The sequence below is a fragment of the Homo sapiens genome, chromosome 5 (assembly GCF_000001405.40).
Source record: "Homo sapiens chromosome 5, GRCh38.p14 Primary Assembly".
Lineage (NCBI taxonomy): Eukaryota > Metazoa > Chordata > Mammalia > Primates > Hominidae > Homo > Homo sapiens.
In genome coordinates, this window is record NC_000005.10 from 68732882 (window position 1) to 68757582 (window position 24701).

General features: G+C 40.8%; 2 long non-coding RNA genes across 3 annotated transcripts in view; both read right to left on the minus strand.

Annotated features, from left to right (window-relative positions):
* Nucleotides 1-24701, minus strand: part of LOC105379013 (uncharacterized) — a 406546-nt gene that overhangs the window by 306570 nt on the left and 75275 nt on the right. The gene's annotated exons all lie outside the window — the stretch shown is intronic.
* Nucleotides 12198-13512, minus strand: LOC124900991 (uncharacterized). Its single transcript, XR_007058807.1, has 2 exons — nucleotides 13275-13512; nucleotides 12198-12650 (listed from the first exon to the last, which is right to left on the minus strand). It is a non-coding gene; the product is annotated as an uncharacterized LOC124900991 (long non-coding RNA).

Below are 24701 nucleotides of genomic sequence, written 5' to 3' on the forward strand. Positions count from 1 at the left end.
GCCCTCAGTCCACTCCCCAAGCAGGACAACTGTGGAACAGAGCTGCTGTGTTCTTGGACCTGTGAAAAAACAACTGGCTGTGAGAGCCTATGGGAGGAGCTCTTCCTGCAACCCTCCTACAGGGAAGAAGAAACTGCACCCATTATCTGTACATACTTTCTAAGAGTAAGTATATAATGGGGGGACTAGACTGTACAGTGAGAAATCAATTATTCCCTGATGGATAGGTGGAGGGTAGGGGAAGCCAAATCAGAATGGAAGATCATGCACCCTACTTACTGGCTCTTGACATTACAATAAAACCAGGGCTTGGAGTGTAGAGGGAATTCTGGGCCTGCCTCTATCCTCCTTCACTAGTTGCCTTAGCACAAGTCATTACACAAGACACTGGTGCTTTCAGGCTGTCCTGTGCTGAGAGTACATGGAGAATTGGGATAGTCTCCCTTGCCCCACCTGCCTGCCCAGTGTCACTATCAAGACCATCTAATGCATTAAAAAAATTGTTCTATCAATGAAGGCCTCCATCCTGTCTACCGGGCAATGCCAGGATACCAGCTGTCCTCACCACTTGTTTCTCTGGGTGTCACCCCAGAGTCTCGTTGCCAATCCTCTGGGTCCTGTGGCATTTCCTAGGCTACAGAGACATCCCTGCTTCTCAGAGTAAGTCAACAGTGTACTTTCAGGCCTGTCTTCTCACAAGTAACAGAATACTTCTTTTCTAGAAACACAAGCATGTCATGAAAACACAGACCAAAACCCATCAAGGATTGTAATCCAGAACATCAAGGGTTATAGAGAGGTAAGCTTTATCTGGTTTAGGGGGGAAAAAATCACACAGGTTCCCTAACAATGCAAGTCCAGACTATTTCTGGTCAGCATCCTCTTAAAGTCTAGGACGTTTACATTCCCTTTACCTCTATTTCTAGTCCAGGCTTGGTACCCTGCCTTCCCCCTAAGAAGGTTTTTCCTTCTCAGACATCAAGTTCCTACTCCATTTCTCCTCCATGACCTGAGTGGTGGCTCTTGTTTACCCCTGAATAAAAATACTAGATCCTCACTAGTCCTGAACAGTAGAACTAGGTAGGGTTCATTCATTCATTATCTATTGAGCAGTGGCAACTATGTCACAATTATTATAAGAAGTTTTGTGGGGATGGGTCAGACATGGATTCAGCCTTTCGGTAACAGAAAGGATCTCAGATAAAGTGACGCCGTCGGCCCTTCACATCCGTGGGTTCTGCCTCTATGGCTTCAACCGACCGTGGATCAAAAGTTTTTAGAAAAAAACATTGCATCTGTCCTGAACATGTACAGACTTCTTTTTCTCACCATTGCTCCCTAAACAGCACAGTATAACACATAGTTTACATTTTATTAGGTATTATAATCTAGAGCTGATCTAAAGTATTTAGAAGGATGTGCACAGGTTATATGCAAATACTATATCACTTTGTATCAGAGACTTGAACATCCATGGATTTTGGTATCCAAGGGAGATCCTAGAACCAATTCCCCTTAGATATCGAGGGATGACTGTATTAATAATACGTGGCAGAAACTCCTAGCTTTTCACTCGAATTCTTTTTTTTTTTTTTCAAGATGGAATTTTTGCTCTTGTTGCCCAGGCTGGAGTGCAATGCACAATCTTGGCTCGCTGCAACCTCTACTTCCTGGGTTCAAGCAATTCTCTTGCCTCAGCCTCCCTAGTAACTGGGATTACAGGCAACCACCACCACACCCAGCTAATTTTTTGTATTTTTAGTAGAGATGGGGTTTCACCATGTTGGCCAGACTGGTCTCAAACTACTGACTTCAGGTGATCCACCCGCCACGGCCTCCCAAAGTGCTGGGATTACAGGCATGAGTCACTGTGCCCAGCCCAAATTCTTTTTCTTATTCCTGTGTCTAAAACACAGCTAGACACACTTTCCAACTTCCTCTACAGTTAGGCATGGCCATGCACCTGAGTCCCAGCCAATAAAAGTGGATGGAAATGGCACACACCACTTCCCGGCCCAGCCTGTGAGATCCTACGTGCACTTTCCCTCTTCAGGCTGGTTGGAGTAGGTGTGATCACTGGCATTTGGAAGCCACATGTTGAACAGATTAGCCTCGGATGACCTGAGCCCTTGAATACCCACTTGGAGAAAAGCTGCCCTTCTGGCCTATGCATATTCAGGATTCGTACAAGAGCAAGAGATAAACTTCTGTGTGGATTCATCACAGATTGAGTGTTTTATAATAGCAGCCAGGTTACTCTAATTCATACAAACTATAAGATAAGGCAGCTCAAATTGTTGAAATGATTATTTATTAAAATGGAAAGATATTCACTGAATAGTAGAGAGGAACAGATTGAAAAACTTACTATAGTGTGATCCTATTTTTTAAAAGAATATATATGCATATGTATACATACACACAGAGAAAGTTCTAGTATAGAACAAAGTATAGGTGTTTATCTATCTCTGGATAGTGGTAGTATAGGTAGGGCTTATCTACATTTTTTGATATGTCAAGCATGAATGTATTCTGATATTATAATGAAAAAATAAAAGCTATGTTTAACATTAAAAATGAAAGAATATCTTAAAACATATATATATAAAAGCATAGCATCTCAAAGTGAGTAGATTTCCTGAGGGAAATTAGAAAAGGTTTCTCAAACTGAACATCTATTAATGACTCTTCTAACACTGAAAATCTATAAATTAGCTACAGCCTGAGAAATAGATCGGTTCAATTTACAACACACCTGGCTCCCAGCCTTTACATATCGAGTCCTCATCAATGGAAATCAATTCACCAGAAAAAAAAATGGAAAAAATACATTTTTCACCTTTAAAAAGAAAGTGCCAGGAAACTAGTCTTAGTAGTTGTTTGGGGTGGAGTTGTTTATAGAAATAAAGAGAAAGGGAGGTTTTGGGTGTTGGAGGGAGGAAAAGTAGCACACTTAAACTCTTTTTATCTTCTGAATATTGCTATATGCATTTAATGCCTATTCAAAACATTCTTAGTTCTAAAACCTTTTGTAAATAGTAAGTCAGAGATTCTCATTGAATTGGTTAAGAGCAGAGACAAATGCTAAGCAAACAATTCATAATTTCCAGGTGGAATTTTACTGACCCATGAATCTAATTGGTCATTGCAGCAAAGTTTCCCCCTTTTATTTGGGAAGAGCCTAAATCTATTCTTCCCATATACTGAAGGACAAGGGACAATTAGTGAAGACACCTCCACTCCCCTCCACACAATCTTCAAAAGTGTCTGGAGAAGGATTTTGTTGTACAATAAGAACCAGAAACTGCAAAACATGGTGTGTCGAAGTCTCAACCCCTGTTCCGCTGTCATGAAGGCTTGGAGGAATGGAGTTGACCTGAGAGAGGTGGGGCAGGCCTCCAACTCTCTGGATTGAGGAAGAGTGTTGTGGGTTGAGGTTCCTGTGAAACAGACTCTGAGACGGTGATTTGGCTATAGGTGGCTTAATAGGGAGGACTCTTGAGTATAACATAAGTAAGGGAGTAAAGGAAGCAGAATGAGGCAAAAGGAGGAGTTGAGCCATGAAGCAGTGATGACAAAGGAGTCAGGGGATGCCACAGGGCACTCTGGGGCTGGGATGGCCCTTCAGTTGGAGCAAGGGCACCAAGCCTTTACATGCCCTCATGGTCTTGGAAAAGAAGCTCTCTTCAGCCAGTTTTCTAAGAGGGACTCAGTTGTGAGACATCAGGAGGCAATACTCACAGCATCTGAAAGGACAAGTGCCCAGGATCAGGGGTCACACCACAGCTCCACTACAGAGCAGCAGGAGGGGCTCACCTCTTCTCCTGATCACTTCATATACAGTTGTCAAACAGATCACACCACAATCTGCTCCTGCCATTGCTCACTGAAACCCCTCAGCAGCTTTCCATTACCCCTGGAAGCAAATAAACCCTCATAAGCCAGCCCCTGGGCCCCTCTCAGGCCCAGAGGCCAAGCCTCATGTGGCAGTTCCCGACGGAGCTGAGAGTCCAGCCACACAGGGTTATTCATCAGTCCCAGGAGCTACCATTCTCTTTCATGGCTCTGAGCCTTCATGTATGCTGCTGGAATGCTTTCTCCACTCTAATCTTTCTAGAAAATCCCTAATCATCTGTCAACCCCCACAGTAGTTTCCACTGAGAAACTTCCCTGGCTCCCCTGGACCACTCGGACTCACTCTCCTTCACATCCCCACCCATATTATGTGTATCTATACTACCACCCACACCAGCCCCTGTACGACACAACAATTTTGCATACCCCATCTTCACTGGACTGGGGGGTTCTTGAAAACAGAGCCAGGGCTTTCATCTTTGTTCGCCTGATACATAGGAACTACTGGATTAAATGTGCATTGAATGGATAAGCAACTCAATGTGAAAGACATGTTGCTGGCAAGGAAAAGAGGATGAATTCTGTCAACTGGTAGGAGACGGACAGTAACTAGAAACTGGGGTAGAAGATGTTTATAACCAGCCATGTGCCAGAAAAATGTGACCGTTTGCCATCTTTGGTTCTTGATATCTATCATCAAAGTTTCAATTTCACAGAATGCAGAGTATATCAGGGTCTTTTATGTGGACAGCAAAATCGCTGTTAGGGTGCAAACACCAGAAACTCTCCCAAAGGTAACTTTAACAAAGGAGGATTGAGCTGCATAGATCCCTGGCTTAGGCTATTTATAAATGAAATGGTGGGATGAGCAAGCAGCCCCCTCTCTGTGTTCTCTACAGAATCTCTGCCAAGAACAAGAGGATCCACTACACATGCATAACACACTATACTCATCACTGTTCTATGTGATGCTGATCAGCTATTCTTAATGAGGTAATGAGCACTGGGGCTGTATGAACCAAGACTATTTAGGACAAAGATCCCAGGTAACAAAGAGAAGGAAAGAAGGAACTTGGGTCATCCTGGAGCTCCCTTGGAAGGGGAAAGTGGAAATGCAGGCTCCCATTTTTCTTTGCCTCTCATCTCATACCTATCTTCATCTCATACTTCTATTCTCAGGAGGAATGGAACTAGCCCAAACTATGATGAAAAATGATCATATCTCATTCATATCTTAAGCAAGTAACATTGTTTTAGAACCCCTGATGCAAACATAATACTCTGAGTAATGAAGCAAAATTATCCAAGGTCATTGTAAACAGGCATCAAACCTAGTGTGGCTTCAACTGAGATGAATTTTAGGTGTATAGGTTTTTACTTTGAAATCTTACTGTCTCATTATAGAACCAGGGAACTGTCTGGGAGGGAAGAAAAAAATATCCTATTTCTTCAGAAAATGCCAAGGGGCCACAAGTCTTAATCTGCTGCAGCCAGACTGGAGGCCGGGGACTTATTCAAGCATACAAAGTGAACCTTCTCGAGTTTCCTTCTGCTGACACCCAAGGTCCTCCTTGACCAAAGTTCAGAAGGAGATGTTCCCATATCCAAAAGGAAGACTGCCTGGCCGAGCAAATGCTCCACCCACCTGAAAGCCTGATTATGATTCCATTGGAACGTGGGAGTCAATCTCTAAACATAGCCCCGAAAGCGGCCTCCGCCATCATCCTTGTGCTGTAGCTTCTCTCCTTCCAAAATAATAAAATGAGGTGGGTGGGCCCCAGGCTTTTTCCCTGGGAGGACAGCTTGGGGTAAAGAGACAAAGGGACCAGCCCTGTGCTTCGGGCAGCCTTCTACCCCGGAGTTGTCCCAAGCCCCACCCCTTTCCACTTCCCCACTGGGTCCCTCTCCGGGTAGATGTGCCCTGAGATTGGTCAGCTGCCCCAGGGCACTGATGAACCTCAGGTAAATCCTTGGAGGTGTGCCTCTCCCTGTCCCTGACCCAGGGCCCCTGCTGTAAAATTCTGAATCTCGTTACCTTGGGTGCCCCTCCTCCATGCTTCAACACACTCTGTTCCTAGCTACGATCTTTCTTATATCACTGGATGGCATTCTAATAACCAATCAATACCTGCTCCACCATTAGTCTTTCTCACTCACCCTGAGATCCCCGACAGCAGGTGTCTTTCCTCATCCATGGACCTTCAGCCCCCATCACAGTGCCAGACACATAACAGATGCCCAATAAATGCTGAATGAAGAATCGCCCCAGCATTGCACTTGGTACATAGAAGGAATGATAGGAACACAGCGCAAGAAGCTTGACTGCAGCTCTGCATTGCAACTCAGGCCATGATACTTGAACCCCACAGGGAGCTCTGGGGGCTCTGAGTCCAGCACAATGGTGCCACGTCTCCAACACTCTGGGTCATCCTGCCCAAAACTAAATCCAGCTGGGGATGAAGGTAGGTGCTTCCTAGCAGGCCCAGAAAGGAATCCAATTGGAATCACCTGTGGAACACAGAGACCCTAACAAAACCCCAGGCAGGCTTTCCTTTTCTTCACCTGCTGCTCCCCTTTGGAGGATCGAGGGGTGGAGGCACAGTTCCTTCCCTGGTCCCCAGCCTGCTGAGAGCGAGCGGGCAGGAGCTTACGGCAGCCCCTACTGCACCACTGATGGCTCATCCCAGCTATGGCTGAGGAGGGCCTGCAGCCAGGTGCAGCCCATGGGTTGTGAGGGGCCACAAATGTTTCCTTGCTGCAGGTGGGCTCTCTCCCCATGGGCGAAGCCTAAGGGGCCATAAGCCTTTGTGTGGATGGTAGTTGGTTTTGTGGCAATGCCATTTCACTGTCTGACTTGTTTCCCAGGAAAGGAGGGCCTTATTATCAAATCAAGACTGCTGAGCTCCTCAAGCATTGGCAGGTCTCCTGTGGCCAGGAAGAGAGAGCCACCAGCATCAGGGTACCCTGAGGTGCAGAGGGATGAAATTAAGCAAAGGAAAAATCAGGCTGATGCCAACTAATACTCACGGCCAGAACTCTGCTTTCGTTAAGACCCACTTTCTGAGAAGAAAGAGGCCACCACTTCTTCTTTACCCACCCTGGACCACCCTTCTCACTCAGCCCTCCCTGGCAGGTAAGGATCTAACCAGCCCTACCCATCTAACAGAGAGCGTCTCTGTCCCGCCACGGTTTCTCATCTGGCTTAGGCTTGGTGAAATGAACAGTTAAGAGCCTAATAGAAACCAAAGAAACCACTCTTCACAGAGGCTGAGGCCTGAGGCTTCCTGGCAACACCTGCCACTCTGTTTTGCTTTAATGACTAATTTTGATTAAAGCCAAAGCCAGAGGTTTTGGTCTCTGTTTTTGAGTCTTTTAATTGACTGAGATAAAGAACTACATTTCTATCATGATTTTATAGAAAATTATCCTGGTTACACATAAGTAGAAAATGTTTCTACAACAGTAAAGTCAAGAAGAGCAGGCTCTTGACATCTTTTGAATAAATCCTAGGTGCCTGCTATAAGGTGCTTCATTTTATTTCATTTCACTTTATCTTCCCAGCAACCCCATGAGGTAAGTATTAACCCTCAATGTATGAGGAAATCAAAGTTCATAGAAGTTGACCGACGCGCCCACAGCAAACAAGTGGGGAATCTTCCCTTTCTGCTCTGTGGTTTCCAGCCCTGGCCACAGAATAGAATCCCCTAGGGAGCTTTAAAAACAACAGGTGCTCAAGTCCCATGCCCAGAGCATCTGATTTAATTCATTAGGAATGGGTCTCAAATCTTATTGGTGGGTTACACCATATTCAAATAGAGGGCACCTAGATCCCGGGAGGAAAAAAAAATGCCTTAGAGTTTTCATTTCATCTTTACTCCAACTCTGGGAAGTCAAGCCATGTGACTGATACTCAGCTATGTAAGTGATGCCAGTAAGTCTCAGCTAGGGTGGAAAAATCAGGCTGACAACTGAGCATTTTCGTAGCTCATAAGTGCTTTTAGCCTATCTACGAAGTTATACCAAGTCTCCTAGGTAACTGGGACTATTTTCATTAAACTAGGAAATATTGAGCAGAGTGGATGGTGAATTGCATTGAGATTTTCATCTCCTGGCAGCTCCTTTGTTGGGGGGTTGGAGGTAACTTACCTCTCTGTGACTCAGCATGCTTCCCCAGTCACCAAAGGAGGAGGAAAGAAGAGAGCACTGAGTGGCCTTACAGGGAAAATTTGGAGGCATGAATCAATTAGTCCATGTTTATGAAGTGCATTGTGCTCCTTGAGTAATAATAGAGTGCCAGGGCCTGGTATTATTAGTTTTCACACAAGTCCCAAGATTAATTGGTCCTCTCAACCTCAGTCCCCAACTCACTAGTTCTGCTTTGTGTCCATCCTAAGTTACTTTCCTGGCAGAAAGCAACATCTGGGCTAGAGCTCTCCCTGTGGAGAGGCGAAGGGACCCAGTGCATCCTATAGCAACCCTTCTACCCAAGATGGACTCCTCTGAGCTGGAATTCACCTTCTGCTAACTCCTTGGCATTTGTTTAACACAGGCCAAGTAACCAGATCAAAAACTGAGGCTGCCGTCACATCCATGCTGTTTATAACTAGGCAGATTCCTTTTATAAAGCACAAATAACTTCAAAACATTAGGCAATCAAGGCCTCAACTTAACAGGTGGGAAGGGTCTGCACTTTATAACTGCATGCCTCTTTAGCATCATCTTCCCTTGCTCTTCTATTTCAGCATAAAGTCAACACAAAACCAGTTGCTTTTCATAAGTGAAGCCATTCCTTTCTTGAAGTGCCATTTCCTGAACAAAGAATGTAACAATAATCAGCTTCTCACAATCAAGTGAGTCTTGAATATGCCTGGCCTTATGACAGATTGCTGTTTTGTTAAGGAAACCATTGTTGAATGTGTTTGACTTTGACAATGTATAGTTTTAAATTCAAATCCAGAAGATTTATGTATTTGCCCTTGTTTCTATTACAGAATCTAAGGATATTAAGGTGAGAGGGAAGCTTAGGGACCTAATCAAAGTCCCTCATTTTAAAAGAAAACTGAAATTCAGGAAAATGAAGTGACCCATCCAAGGTCAGTCTGAGTGTCCTTAGTTCTCCTCTTTTCCTTATTCCACTTTCTCTCTCTAGAAATTTCATGTGGTCCCAAGTTTAAATGACCCTCACCTATTACTAAGTCCCAGACCTCTCCTCAGAACTGTGGTTTTCTATCCCAAGCCTCTCCTCTTATCCCCAAGTCCTAAGCCTTCTCCATCCCAATATTTTGCATCACTACTTCATACCTTCTCAGGTCCAAAGACCTTCCATTATTCTTTCATGTTCCATTTTTCATACACCCTATATCTAGGTTGGCATTTGTCCTAAATTAATTTAGGATATGGGTTGTATGAGGAATGGGACCTCTACTCCCAAAATAAATTACAAATTCAACCCTTTTCTTTACCCCTCTGCTATAACCCTAGTTCATACTACAGTCAGCTCCTGCCTATTTGAATAGCTCTGTAAGAGTCTCCCTCTTTTCACTCTTTCCCTTTCCTGTACATCTACCATGTGGTAATAAGAGTGGTCTTTCTAAAGCATCGATGCATTGTCTCACACCCCTGCTTAAAATCCCTAACACTTCAAATGCGACTTGAACTCTTTTTCTTTCTTTTCTTTCTTTCTTTCTTTCTTTTTTTTTTTTTAACTGAAACCTACAATCATGGCGGAAGGCACCTCTTCTCAGGGTGCCAGGAGAGAGAATGAGTTTTGAGTGAAGGAGGAAGCCCCTTATAAAACCATCAGATCTCGTGAGAACTCACTCACTATCATAAGAACAGCATGGCAGAAATCATCCCCATGATCCAATTATCTCCACCTGGTCCTACCCTCGACACATGGGGATTATTACAATTCAAGGTGAGATTTGGGTGGGGACACAGAACCAAACCATATCTCTGGGAGAGACCACAATGAGCAAAAATTGCACTGTAGCATCAGTTCCACACATGTGAGTACATACTATATACAAGGTCCTTTACTGAGGCCCTTCTGTGTGTCAAGCATCATGCTAAACATAGTACATTTAAGCCTTGAAAAAACCTGTAATAAGATGTACATACTCTTATATAGAGTATATAGATGAGGGAACTTCAGGCCAGAGAACTAAATAACTTTCTGAAGATCGTACAACCAGGAATTGCCAAACTAGGATTCAAGTTCAGATCTTAAAGTCTCAAAGTCTCCCACAAATCTAGGTCCTGGGGGGACACTGAGCCCCCAGAAACTTCCACTGAAGTTAGTGAGATAGGCAGAAATATGTTCATTGACAAGAAGAGGAAAATCAGTAGGGAAGTTGGTTACGAGGAGGAAGTGTTGTGTTTAGCCTAGCACACATTGGATTTGAAGTTAAGGATGGAGTGTCCAGGTGGGGATAGCCATGAACCAGAGAGAAATAGGAATGTGAAGGTCAGGAGATAGCCCAAGGCTCAGGCTGCTGAGATATGGAGATAAGAGTCAGATTTCTACAGGTAATTATAAAGCCTTTAACAAGAGGTTGGGGAGACAAGTAAGGTGACCACCCATGCCTAGGTCTATCCTAATTTTAGCACTGGCAGTCCCATGTCCCTGGAAGTCCCTCAGTTCCAGGCAAACCTGGACCACTGGTCAGGCTAGAAGACAGTATTTAAAGAGAAGGCATACAGGCCAAGTATGGAAACTGGAGAATATTTATGCTTAAGGGAATAAAGACAGGGACGAACTTGCTAAAGAGAGTGCAGTCAGAAAGGTAGACGTGACCAATGCATGCTGGGCTCTTGCTGTGAATTTGGGGCTGGGAATTCAGGTGGAAGGCATTGAAAGGAGAAGTCTCCATCAGAGAGGGCTGTGAGGAAAGTAGAACCATCAGATAAAACCTGGATTTCCATTAGGGCCAGGCAGAGAAAGGAACTTTGTGGAAAGATGGAAGACAGGACAACTGGAAGATACCAATAGTTATACCCACAAGAAGGCCTGAGACTGGAGAGGAGCTGGGCTGAGTGGGGAGGAGATTGCAGGAGGACTTGCTTTTCTAACTGGGGAGAAGGGCGTATCTCAATGGCATGGAGGAAGGAGCCAGGCTTGGACCTTTGGCCTTGAATCTTATCCCCTTCACTCAATAGCTGCGTAATTTTGGGCAAATACTTTCCCCTCTCCGAGATTCAATATCGTCTACTGTAAAACAGAGATAATAATATCCACGACCTTGCAATCCTAGAAATAGGATTGCATTTAGATCTAGGTAGCAATTAGTGGTAATGTACAAAGCAGGCTGTCAATAAAAGGTTTCATTGCTGGGTTATCAAATTTTTTTTTTACTAATATTGTGAGATTTGTCAGGGGCAACATATAAATATCAGAAGAAATTAACTAGGCAGAATTCTGTTGTTGAAGGAGTTTCAGGCCTTGTGTTTCTGCTTAAATATCACCAGGCTGACTGTGATGGAACTGTGAGGCACCCAGCTGATCATTTCTTAGAAGCTCGGTATAAGGGCAGATGGTAAGACAGGTCTAACTTTCAATGTCAAATGATATTATTAAAGTTAAACAGTCTGGATAGGCTTGGGGAGGTTAACTCCGCTTTCTATACTCTGCACACCCTAGAGCTAAGTGCCTAGAGCTGAAAGTGCTGCCAGCAAAGTGAAGCTGCTCTCGAGGGGAATACACTTGGCAAAAAGAGCGCTCATCAGGAGCAGGTGGTGAAAACTCCACTAAGTTAGTGAGAACATCTCAAAGCCCAGAATCTAGGCTTTAAATATTAATCTGACTTCAGTAAGAAAGAGCTAGTTTTTACCCATTAGCTGAGAAGCACTTCAGCTCTGACTTGTTATTTTTAAGCAGTAATGTTTTTTTAAAGAGTCCAATTCTGCTCCCCATAAGGGAGAGGACTAGCTTGAGCAAACCCCAGTGGTCTTTTTTCTTCAGAGTGTGGGAACAGAGAAGCAGTCGGCTATCATTCAGCTTGTGCCGTCCCGAGGTCACCACACCTGATGCTGGTTTAGAGATGAGATTAACCACAGTTCAAGAACAAACTCTCTCCGCAACGTAGGCTGGAATGGCTCCACGAGCCAAACCACTTGACAGAATTTTAAGAAACAGAAATCTATTGCTGTTTCCTTTCTATACTGGAAATATACAAGATATTGAGGCTACTCACCCCATCAGGCCACCAAAAATACGTGTATGTTCTATTGCCATCTGATGCCATCCTACCCCACATGCACAATGCCAGTGTGGGGGCTACAAAGTACCTCGGTGCCTATTTTAATCCATTTAGGCCACTCTAACAAAAATACCATAGATTAGGTGGCTTACAAACAACAGAAATTTATTTCTCAAAGTTTTGGAGACTGGGAAGTCCAAGGTCAAGGCACTAATCTTGGTTTCTGGGGACAGCACACTTCCTGTTCATAAGGCAGCAGTCCCTTTGCTATGGCAGAATGGGTAAGCGACCTCTCTAGGGTCTCTTTTCTAAGGGCATTAATCTTATTCCTGAGGGCTCCACCCTCGTGACCTAATCACCTCCCAAAGGCCTCACCTCCAAATACCCTTACACTGGGGATTAGGTTTCAACATCTGATTTGAAGGAGACATAAACATTCAGTCTATAGCAGTGCCCCAATTCTGGATTTTTTTTCCTCTCACTTTCAGAGCAGAACTCATCTGAGTGAGAATGATTACCTTTTCAAATAGATGTTAGTTTCATTCTAATCAGGGCTTTGGAAGAGAATCAGGGAAAGAGTCTTCTCAGAAAAGGAGTCTGAAAGAAGAAGTTGGCAGAATTTCAGCAAACAGGAGTTTAAAAAAATCTAACATCATGAATCTGTTCACTAGCAGGAAAGAAAATATATTGTATTTTCAAGGCAGGGTAACAATGTTGCATAACTTAGGGTTGGGGGGTTGGCATTCACTTTACAGTCTATGTGAAGGGTGCCCCCTAGAGTTGTACAGTGGGCAGCCTGTGCACCCAAATTTGAAAAGCCCTGGTTCAGGGTATCCAAGTCAGAAAAGTATCTACAATCATTTCCACACAGGCATGAAAGCTTTAGTCTATGGAAAAAATTAAGTTGTGATAGACTATTCTGTGGAAAATTCTTAATGCACACAGTGGAACCCAAATTTCCCACCGAAGTGAGTCCTAAATTATAACCGGGGTTGAGGGGGGACTTGGAGGTCATTTAGACCATCACTTCATTTTGCAGATGAGGCAACTTTAGCCCAGAGACATGTCTTGCCCAAGACCAGCAAGGCTATGCTAAAAAAGTGAAACAGACTTCCCCTGCTTCCCATAGATGGCAAAATAGGCCACTTTGCTGTGAATGGCATTCAGTCACCCAGACCCCAACCTGAGCCTAATTCATCATTATCATCACTCAGCACTTACGGAGCACCTTCTAAATACTAAGCCTTTCTTGAGAATACACAAAGAGTCTCTCCAAAGGTCCCAGCCCATGAGGCAACAGGAGGGCAGATCTTCGCATAAATCACACATCCTTTGGTCCAGGAAATGAAGACTTTGCTAGAAACGTTTCCAGGCACAAAAGTAGTATAACCCTCTTTGAGCCATGAATGGTTATGGTCCGTTGAACAAATCCTTATTTAGGCTTTTCTTTCTGAAGAATGTCCCCGTTGGAGTTGACTAACTTCTTTGAAGCTGCCTTGGTTTATTGGTTAAATATTTACTCATTAATATATTTAAAAGCCATATTATTTACACAATGGATTTGGAACCATTCTGGACTATTGGGTAATTATTACCTATTTAAAATCAGGCTATCCAAAGCAAGAAAACTGATGGTCATTTATAGGGAGAATGGGGAAATTTACAGGTTACTGAGGTTGATCTTTAATCTAAATTTTATTTTTAACCCAGTCATTCTACTCCTTCTAACGGGAGTTTAATGCATGTTTGAATGTGTGTGGTGAAAGTGAGGTGGGAGGAGAGAGAAGCCCTTTTACCAAAACCCAGTGCAATTAAACTGCTTTATGGACAAGCTCTCTGCCAAATTTCTTGTTGAAATCAAAGACACCTTTGAGTTTGTTATGCAAGAGCAGGGCAAAAAGCACCTGCAGTCACGTCTGTTTCTCATTTTGTACTCGTGTAACTCAGATGCCCTGTGGATTAAGTGGAATCTGCTCCTGAGTCGAAATCGTGTACACCACGTGTCAGCTCAGCTTGAATTTGGAAACAGGAGCTCAGAAGGTGCCATTCAAACATGTGGCTCTGGTTTTCCCCAGGTGTAACTTGAACGCGGGAGTCATGTTATGGGGCCCCTGCCCCCAGCTTCGCTCTAAGTAAGAGATACAGCAGCACCTTGTTTCCATTTGATCGTGCTGCCCCCCACTCCTCACCCGCATATGAGTGCCCATTTAGGCTTTCATGAGAGAAGGTGGAAAATGAGTGCTGTGAATGTGCGTGTGGACAGTTCATGACCTGTGCATGAATTTACAACCGTGTCCTGACACAGAGAAAGGAAGACAACCAGAATGCGTGACCAAACATCCCCAGGTAGCCAACATAGGTCACTTCTCTGGGCAGATACTGTTTGTGCCCTACTTAAATGTAAAAAGCATTCTCTGGGTCTAGAGAGGTTGCATTAGGGTAAAATAAGTACTCAGCTTTTATGTTAAGACTCCAACCAAATTCTTTCCAGTTTTAACCCAAAGAGGCCTCTTTTAAATATCACACTGATAAGGAATTCTGGATCTTGTCTCTTTGATCACATTTTAAAATATTAGCTTCTTATCTGCCTCTTCATTCACTCCGTGGATTCAACAAATATTTAATGAGTACCTGCTATGTGCTATCGAGCATCAGCAGCTCATAAAACACCAAGGACTTTGCTTTCATGGAGTTTCCTTTCTATCTGGGGAGGGGAAGTATTGGCTTTGAACTAGCTTGGTGAATATGTGTTCCAGTTAAAGTCAAGTCTCCATGTGGCATTCCAGATTTACACAGGATAAATTGGGATGTGATAATTTGCTTCAAAAAAAGATTCAATATTTTGCTAAAAAAAAAAAATCACAGAAGGATTCCCTTTAAATCTAAAACTCCTGTAGCGCCCCCTCCCAACCCAGTCATTTTATTTATTCTGCATTTTTTGAGGACTCCATGTATTATTAAATGGAGTGCCCTGCGCTGTTCTGAAATACATCCCCTAATCACCACCGTAGGTAGACAGTCACTTCCCCAGGAGGATTTGACTGCATAAAAGAAGTGCCTTATGAAAGCACTACTTATTCCAAAATAAAAACCCACCTATTCGGCAAGAGGCTACCGGCAGGCCCAGAGAGGAAAAACCCTTAGGGACTTCACTGTCAGTGGTTTCCCCAGAGCCTCTGTGCACCCTCAGTATTTAAGAACTGAGTTAAGGGCAAAAAAAAAAAAAAAAAATCTAGAGTCAAGTGGAGGTTTTCCTTTAAGTTTTTCCAGATTTTTCTCATTAACAAAAATGAGGTAAAAGAAAAACAAGCTTAACCAATACAATTTAAAAAATGAATCTGGCAAGGTGACGACATCACTTTTCTCTCTTGACACTTTGAACTACTTGGATACTTCATTATCTGTCACCAGCATCTCTCCTTGTAAGCACCAGCAATTTGGCCCATTAGCAGTTTGTGAGAACAGTGACTCCACTAAGCTTTTGTGTGAGAACATAGAGAGTCGCCACACAAACACACAGACTTAGAAGAAATGAGAGAGAAACTGAAATGAACGTTCCTAATATTACAGTGGCCCTCCTGTTATTTTCCCCATGTTGGGGTTTTATTGATCAGTGACCACATTGCTCCTCAGGACCATCACACTGCCAGGAAGCTTCCCGGTCCAGCTGCACAGTGGTTAGTTGGCATTTAAAAATAAAAAGAAATTCAAAAACAGGTTTTTGTTTTTTGTTTTTTGTTTTTCAGAAAAGTGAATGCCATATCATAAACTTCAGTTTTATGAGTGGGAAGCCCATCCCACTAATATCAGGGAAGGAAAGTGAAGCCAACCTTGGGTGGTGGTGTTTATCTGTTCAAGAAGGATTCATACTAAAAAGGCATCATATTAATTAGATAAGTTTAGCGGATACAGGTACAAAAGGGTATTCAGAAGTCAAATGAGCCATTCTTCAATTGAAGAACTTTGCTTTAGAATAATCATGCTCAGTGCAGTCATTGTCACTTAAATTAGCCCAGGAGGAAAAGTTTTCTTAAGAGAACATATGTACAAATAAAATGAGATTGAGGTAGGAAGAAATTAAGTGTTTTTTCTTTCCCAAGGTTAGATCAGTCTAAACAGACTATAGCAAAAGCCAAGCCTCATACACATGCCACAACCATCACTCTTCAAGGCCTCTCCTGGCCTCAGCATTTGGGTCTTCACTGACCCAGAGGCCAGGTCCAACACCCACTCTGTTACTTTTTCAGATAAAGACTTTCTGATTCCTCCAGGAGAGCCTGTGATAGCTGCCATCTGACACATTGCAGAATTATACTTGACTTTCTGAGAAGAACCAGATTCCTCTTGCTGCTGCTTAGACACAGCACTTAGAGTTTGTCTGTGGCTGGAATCCGAACTAAATAGCAACTATGCAGCTTCCTAGGCAGAATGGGAGGTGTGGAATCCACGTGTAGGTGAAGCAGAGAAACTCAGTTTTCCTTTGTCTATCACAGGCCCCCCTTCCTGGTGGAAGCACTGAGCAAAAGTATGCCTGGACTTCTCATTACAAGTCACCTGTCCAGGCACATCCTTCATTCATGCCACCATTTTCCTCAACTGATTTATTTAAATGAAAAGAACTGAGGAATATTTTCATGGAAAAAGAAAATGTCTCCTCAAGCATACCCAAGTTACTGGCAACTCCCAATATGAAAGTCAAGCCTGGAACTCTTGGTATCCAGGCTTTAGACCACATGGAAGCAGATAAAAATCTTTGAAAAATCACTCACAAAAGTCATCAACATCTTAAAGCCTATACGTTAAAATGCAATTCCTTCTAAGGCATTTACCACACAACAAGAAGTTAAGCCAATGGATTTAGAATGACACCATGGCTATTAAGAACTGCCTGCCAAGTGGCTGGTATGACACCCAGCACTGTGTTGCAACATCCTCTATTCCAAGTAACCACTTAGATCTTATGGTAAGATAAAACCTCAAAACAGACACATCGAAAAGGAGAAGGTAGACATTTGACTTCAACTCCATTTCCCAATTAAAACCTGTCAAACGAATGGTGGAGAAGAGTACGGAAAGACCAACTGCACTCAATGGCAACAGTCATCTGGAATTCCTAAGAGAGGTACAAGAAGATAATGAGAAGATTGAGGTTTAGAGTAGAATACATAGGTGTGTGCTTTGGAAATGTGGCATATTCATTTACTTTTTCTGTGTCTCAGTCTCTTCCGTATGGACTAGTGGAAGTTGATGATTCAGATTTCCTGAGGTTTCCCTGGAGATCATTTTTAAGACCTTGGGCTTACTGCCCCTATTCATGGTTCCATGTTCCTCTATTGCTTGAGCACAGTTTTTCAGTGCCTGCTTTTCCAAGACATCAGCATCAATTAATCCACTCTGAAATGCAAGGGTTATTGAAGAGCTAGGTTTCTTCTATAATAAAGGTGTATCAGGGCTTTTTTATTTCGTGAACTGTCCCAGTGGAGTATAACTATAGAACACTGTTCCGAAAATCCTTAGAGGTTTCGGATACACTGCTCAGAGATTCTTGAGAATAAAATTCTGCCATCTAATTGATTCTAATTACCAAACATTTTTGAAAGTTTATCAACTCTACTATCCATATTTATACTAATCCAAATCTAAAGTATTTCCTAGCTAGAATTCCATGATTCTGTAATTCTGGTCATAAGTTTTTTCCTCCCTCTATTCTTTTAAGAAGATCATATCAGTGAGGAGCTTCATTTACTATCTCCGTCTCTAATTCCTTCTCTTTAGTCCTCTGTGTGTCCATTAGAAATAAGGACCAACACATTCTTTTTTATGGCCATTTTCACTTTCATGGAAAACTCCATTTACAGAAAACTCCATTTTCACAGTGGACATTATTTTTAAAAACTGTGAAGTAGTTGCCATCAGTACATCTGACCACCTCATTAAAGAGCTACTGCTTCAAAAGCAGGTCTATCAGAAGGGACTCCTTGCTTAACCTAGAGACAGCCTAAGGAAACAGTTACCTGTCCATTCTACAAACGTCCTGATGTTCATTAAATATTATTAATGTCTACTTCAGAATTTTATTGGTATTAATGTCAATAATTTTAGACCTACTTCACATGTTTGCTAGTGTTGCTTAAAGATTTTGGCAGATTGTAAAGATAGCACGAATTCTGAGGTATACTTGCTTGATCATTTTGCTGCTTTTGTCCTAGAATGCTGAATGTGATGTGATTGAATAGTTCTGAAAGATTTAAACCTGCAGAAATTCCACACACAGTGCTAAAAGGCTCATAACAGTCTTGGATCCAATTTAGCCAAATCACAATCAGATTTGACATTCGTTGACTGACAGAGAGACCGACAAACCAATATTCAGAAGCTTCTTTCTTTTTCATAGTTCATTAACAGCAGGGGAGTTTTCATTTCTTTGTCTCAGTTATGCAAACATTTGGTGAATTTAACTGATGCAGAGAATCGCACTAAAAATCCAAGTCTCAAAGGTAATGTGCTCATATTTGTGGGTTTCTGTGACGAAAATGGCCACTTTCACAGAGCAGCCTACGAAGCACAACGCTTAAGTTGCTGGTGCCTGGCGTGGGATCTCCAGGCCCTGATCTCCAGGTCAGCCTTCCCACCAGCGATCTATACAACCTTGCTACAGAGGATCCCACTTATCATTACCCCATACATCAGTTCACTCATTTGGTCAATGACAATGAAAACGTCAACTGTTACTTCTTTTGCAACTCTGGTGATTTATTTATATAAGTAACAATCATTGGTTTGTCTCCGGACCTGTGCTAGGCATTGGGATCCTTTATGTACATGACTAGCTCTAAGGTAGTGAATGGGAATCAGAGAAAGAAGAGAGGAGGGGGGTAGTTAGTGCACAGTGTGGGCTGGAAATATAATTAACCAGCTTGAGATTTCCACTGCGCCATAATGCAAATGCAACCCACCAGATTCTGTCAATCTCCAGTTACACCCTTATTTAGAGAGAAAAAAAGATCTAGTTGAATAGGGGACAAATGCTGACATAGCTCGTTGATTTGTAAATGTAGAAATGACAGTCATAGTGATGAAAACTGTATACATTTATATACAGATTATGAAGCAAAAATTTTCCCCCGAAATATCCTATTTAATCAAGGAAAAGAGCTCTTACACCATTTTATACTTTCCTGCCCACCACTTCTCTCAAAATTCTTTTAAGCCTAAATATTCTCATCCTTTCATTTCACCAATGTCTAGGATACAGCTAAGACAGCTCAACAGTAATAATGCATCCAAAACCAAAATTCAACTTAATAGGCATTTATAGCATGATACTATATGCCAATATTCTTACGTAAGTTTAATAGCTTCAATTTCAGATGGCAATCTAACTTAGAAGGATTTTATTAGTTTGTATGAAGTTTCAGGGATATTCCCTCCTTATAGGGAAAGTGTGTGAGAACATTTATTTTTGAGAGTCATTTTTATACTAAATAAAAGACCATTTAAATAAAGAAACAATATTCCTGGTCATAACAAAATTGTAAATATTTAATTATCGTAAAACCAAAAAGCTTAAGGTTAAGGAAAAATATATTCAATAAATTCTTAAATGAAAATTATATATCCCCGGGGCTGGGCGCGGTGACTCACGCCTGTAATCCTAGCATTTTGGGAGGCTGAGGCGGGCGGATTACCTGAGTTCAGGAGTTCCAGAACAGCCTGGGCAACACGGTGAAACCCCGTCTCTAATAAAATACAAAAAATTAGCTGGGCATGGTGGCATGCACCTGTAGTCCCAGCTACTCGGGAGGCTGAGGCAGGAGAATTGCTTGAACCTGGGAGGCGGAGGTTGCAGTGAGCTGAGATCGTGCCTCTGCACTCCATCCTGGGCGACAGAGTGAGACTCCATCTCCAAAAAATTTAAAAAAAAAAAAAAAAAAAGAAAGAAAGAAAATTATATATCCCCAAAGAACAATTGTTAGTTTGGATTCTTTCATCCCACTAAATGTAAGTCAAATAGATCCTGATTAAATACCTACTATGTGCAAGGCACATAATTACTAGAAGAAAAAAGAAATGACTTCTCCCTTAAAGAATAACATTTTAACAACCAAGTTAACCAGCTGAACTTTCAAGCAGAGTGCTATTCATGCTTTTGAATAAATGAGTCTGAATATTACCATAAGAATAAAAAAAGAATTTGATTTCGCCATTTCCCAATGGAGCAGAGACTTGTTGTATCATGTACTAAATGCAAAGTCAAAACATAAATCCCAGGAAACATATATCCTACATGATAGATCAGCCTGTATATGGAAAGATGCATTCAAAATGGAACTTTTACTTCAATTACATTGATCACTATCTAATAAAAGGTCTTAGAGGGAATATGATTACACTTTCATTTTCATAAGCAGATATCCATAATGATAGAACAAATCAAAAAGGAAAGCAATTGCAGAATAAGTAAGTGATTGAGCTAATTAAAATTATTGCCAAAAAAAGAGTTTCGTCACTATGGAACAAATCAATCAATATCAAGTCTAAACCAGAAAACTATGCCAAGAAATGGTATAACATTTTGCCTTTCCACCTTGAATTTTGAAAGGAATGACGTGCATTTGAAGAACTTCTCAAGTGAGTAATATCAAAAGTACAAAGAAAGAGGGGAAAAACAAAGAGATTTCTGCAACTCTCATTTCTAAAATAACAGTATACAATCTGTTTTGTATAAGAAATATTTTATAAAGTTTTCTAGTGGTGATGTCAATAAAATTAGAATCTTTTTGAATTTAGACTGATGTCACCCAGTGCTTAAGTAAGTGTATCTGATGTTTGTTCATTATTATTAGGCTATGTTATAGACTGTATAAATAAGTATCTAATATTTTAGTAGGCTGAAAATCAACCATGTAATATGTTCCTAACTACATACGAAAATGCTATTAAATGAAAATATTTCTCTATGAAAACTGTTCTGACAGTTAAACTAATAGAACATTAAGTACAAAAAAAATTTAACAGGCTTACATTATGTTAGGTTCAAAGCTACTTAACCAGCACTATGTATACTGTTCCCATGTTTTGAATCTATTAAGATAGTTCAAATCCCATCATAGTCAACTCCACAAGATTGCCCCAGTTCTTTTGTTAGATTGACAATTTTCCATGTCAAATATAACTTGAAATAAATGAGCCATTATACCACCCTTGGAATTAACTTTATTATAAAGAGATAATTATAATAATTCCTGTAACTTACTTTGCTGTTTTGAATATGAAGGTATAAGAAGATTTTAACTACTTAGACTTCTAAGAAGGGTCCAGAAAAGGTGCATGTTTAGTTTGAACACTACAGTCAGATTCAAGCTGACATATGTTTTGATGGTGAACAAAAAATTCCTCTATTTTATTCACTTAGGGAGGAGTAGTGTACAGTAACTAAGTCAAAGAATAACTGACCAGTGGTGCAGCTATAGAGTTGGAAAAGGAGCATTCCCTTTCAAAGCCCTACTTCTTCCAATATTATCAAAGACTCAAAAATAATCCAAATGGCCCAAAAAGCTCCCAACAGTCTAAGTCTCTGACATGTAACAACTGTAAATTCCAGATGAAAACAAAAACAAGAAAACCAACTCCTTGAAGACACAGAACAGGTGGATTCTGGAAGTTGACACTGAGAGAAGAAAACAGCACTGGGTGGAGTTCCTATTTTCATGGCTTCCAGCATGAGGGCCGAATCCCAAGATGTGGAGAGCCAGAAATGGGAAGCTCTAAATTCCCTGTACAAACTCTTCCCAAATCTCTGGCTGACCACCGAACCACACATGTGAGGGCAAGCTTCCAAGCAGTCTCAATAAGAATAAGACAACCACAATGAGGTTGGAGCTGCTGCCCAAGAGGCAGCAGTCACAGTTTTTGTCTAGTTAAGTTAATTGCCTGTTGTAACAAAAGAAATCAACTCTATTCAAAGAAATATGTAATATCCAGAGGTTCCACAACACATCAGTCATCATCTTTAGGATATGATCCAAAAGTTTTCAGCATACAGAAAATGTCACCTATTCTCAAGAGAAAAAGACAACCCTGAGAGGCCAACCACAGGATGGCCAAGATGATGGAATTATCAGAAAAGGACGGTAAAGCAGCTATTGTAACTGTGCTCAATGGCATAAAGAAAAATGTGTTTTTCATAAATTTAAGATAGGAAATGTCAACACACAACCAGAAATTATTAAAAAGAACCAAATGGAAATTTTACAATGGAAAAATAAAATGTCTGAAAAAAATTTAGGGACAGGGTTAACAAAACAGAGGTAATAGAGCAGAGTCAGTGAACTTGAAGACAGAGCAATAGAAATTTTCTAATCTTAAAGAAAAGAGAGAAAACAGATTGGAAAACAATGAACAGGGACATATGGGACAATATCAAAAGGCCAAACACACAGGTAACTGGAGTTCTAGAGGACAAGAAAAAGAAAATGGAACAGAAAAAATTTTTGAAAAATTAAAAGCCAAAATTTTTACAAATTCAGTGAAAGACATAAATTCACAAGTTCAAGAACCTTAATGATCCCCAAGCAGACTTAATACAAATAGCACCACAGCTAAACATCATAAACTGCTAAAAACCAAAGACAAAGAAAAAAATCTTGAAAAAGCATTACAGACAGGGAAACAAAGATTCAAATGATAATTAACTTCCCATCACAAACAAGTCAGAAAATAGGAGAACAACATATTCAAAGTTCTGAAAAAAAAACTGTAAGCACAGAATTCTAGGTTCAGTGAAAATATCCTTCAAGAATGAAGATTAAATAAAGACATTTTCAGATCAGAGGAACAGAGAATTTATCATAGTAGACCTGTACTGTAAGAAATGGTAAAGAAAGTTCTTTAGCCTAATGAAAACTTCGATCTTTAGGAAGGAATGAAGAACATCAGAAATGGTTTGGAGTTGTTTGTGATAAAATGATGGACAAAAAAGAAGTAAAATCTATGTCCCTGAAACTTTACAAATCTCAATATTCTAGTCTAAAAGTCAGAATAATAAGGCTATGAGAATTAAAAGGTAAATGAACACATTTTGTTAAAAAGTTAATTATTATTAAAAATGTATAATATGCTTATACACATGCCCAGAACCAGGGAAAAGTCACAAGACTTTAGTGTACAGCTTGGCATTTATGCAACCAGCATTTATTGAATGGCCAGAATTTGCAACATAATATGCTATGTATGTCAGATGTTCTGCTTTTAAAAAAAGTGGTTTTAATTTCCAAACTAATTTGATAAAAATTCTTGCCAAACAAGGATTTTAGGGGAGTTAGGAACAAAATATAAAATAGCCAAAAATGTTGAATAATCTGCACCTTTATTCTAAAAGCCATCTCCAAAAAACCCAGTTTTAGATAATGAATCTATGTTTGTATATTACCTTCCTTAAGGTTTTACTTAATTTTTCCTTGCAAAACAATGCAAACAATGTTAAGTCATCAAATTTCCATTTTGCCAACCTGGTTTCCCTTCAAGATACTCAAAGATTACATATCTCAGTATAACCTAAATTACACAGCTAGTAAGATCAAAGAAATCAAAGTGTTTTATTTTTGACACCTAGAAATTTGCATCGACTGCAAACCCGTGGAAAGACAATCGCTACCCAATTACCCATCTTTGTGATATTACAAATAAAGAGAAGATTTATATCTACATAAACATAACGTATAGAAATATTATAAGCATAAAGTTCTGAGTATCTTCAGAAATGTTGATTCTGGGAAAAACTTCAAACTTCATGTTCCTTAACTAGTTCTAAAAATCCCTAACTTTTAGAGATTTCCCTTTTCCTTCTCATTCAGCATCACAAGCTATTTCTACTTTTACTTGACTCCATACCCTGACAGATTAGGGTCAGAAATTGCACATATTCCATAAGAGATTTCTCTATCACACATCACTGCGATGTCACTTAAAGAAAAAATCATAAATGAATGTCAAATATCAGAGTTTTATCCTAAAGTCCTCTTTTGCTTCCCCATGTTTCTGTTCTTCATTCTGTTTCTGCACTTTCTTGCAAACCACCTTCTGAGACAGAAGCAAATTTTTGCCTCAAATTTGCAGAGATATCTTCCTGTCCTAATTGAAAGAGGAATTGGGGACCAATTTGGTGTGTGTGGTGATCTAGCTAACCAGCTATTATCTTTTCACTTGACTCTGCTGTGGGGAATCATGCCTTTTTCAGTTGTAGGTGGAAGTTCATGTGTTACAAGAGGAAGGAAAAGGAGAACTCAGTATAAACACAGGTGCCCCTGTCAAGATTAGATTGTCATTCTGGCTTATTCATATCCTTGGCAAGCAGAAAAAGGATATTTATGGCCCATGTGGTCGTTGAGTGAACTAATTTTGCAAAGCAGTGATTAGGACCCATTCAAGACAGGACAAACTATCTGTCTCAGGATTCTATTTTGCCTACAAATTCAGTGAAAATCTGACCCACCCAAATATTTTGTACCTTTTATATAAATGAGTTTCATACAGTACTATTCTATGAATGCACTCTACTTTCCCAAGGCAACCCTTTTGGATTTCTTAACTTTAGAAAATTAAATCTTTCTATAATGTATTTCATCTTTGCATTTTAAAGAGCCAGCA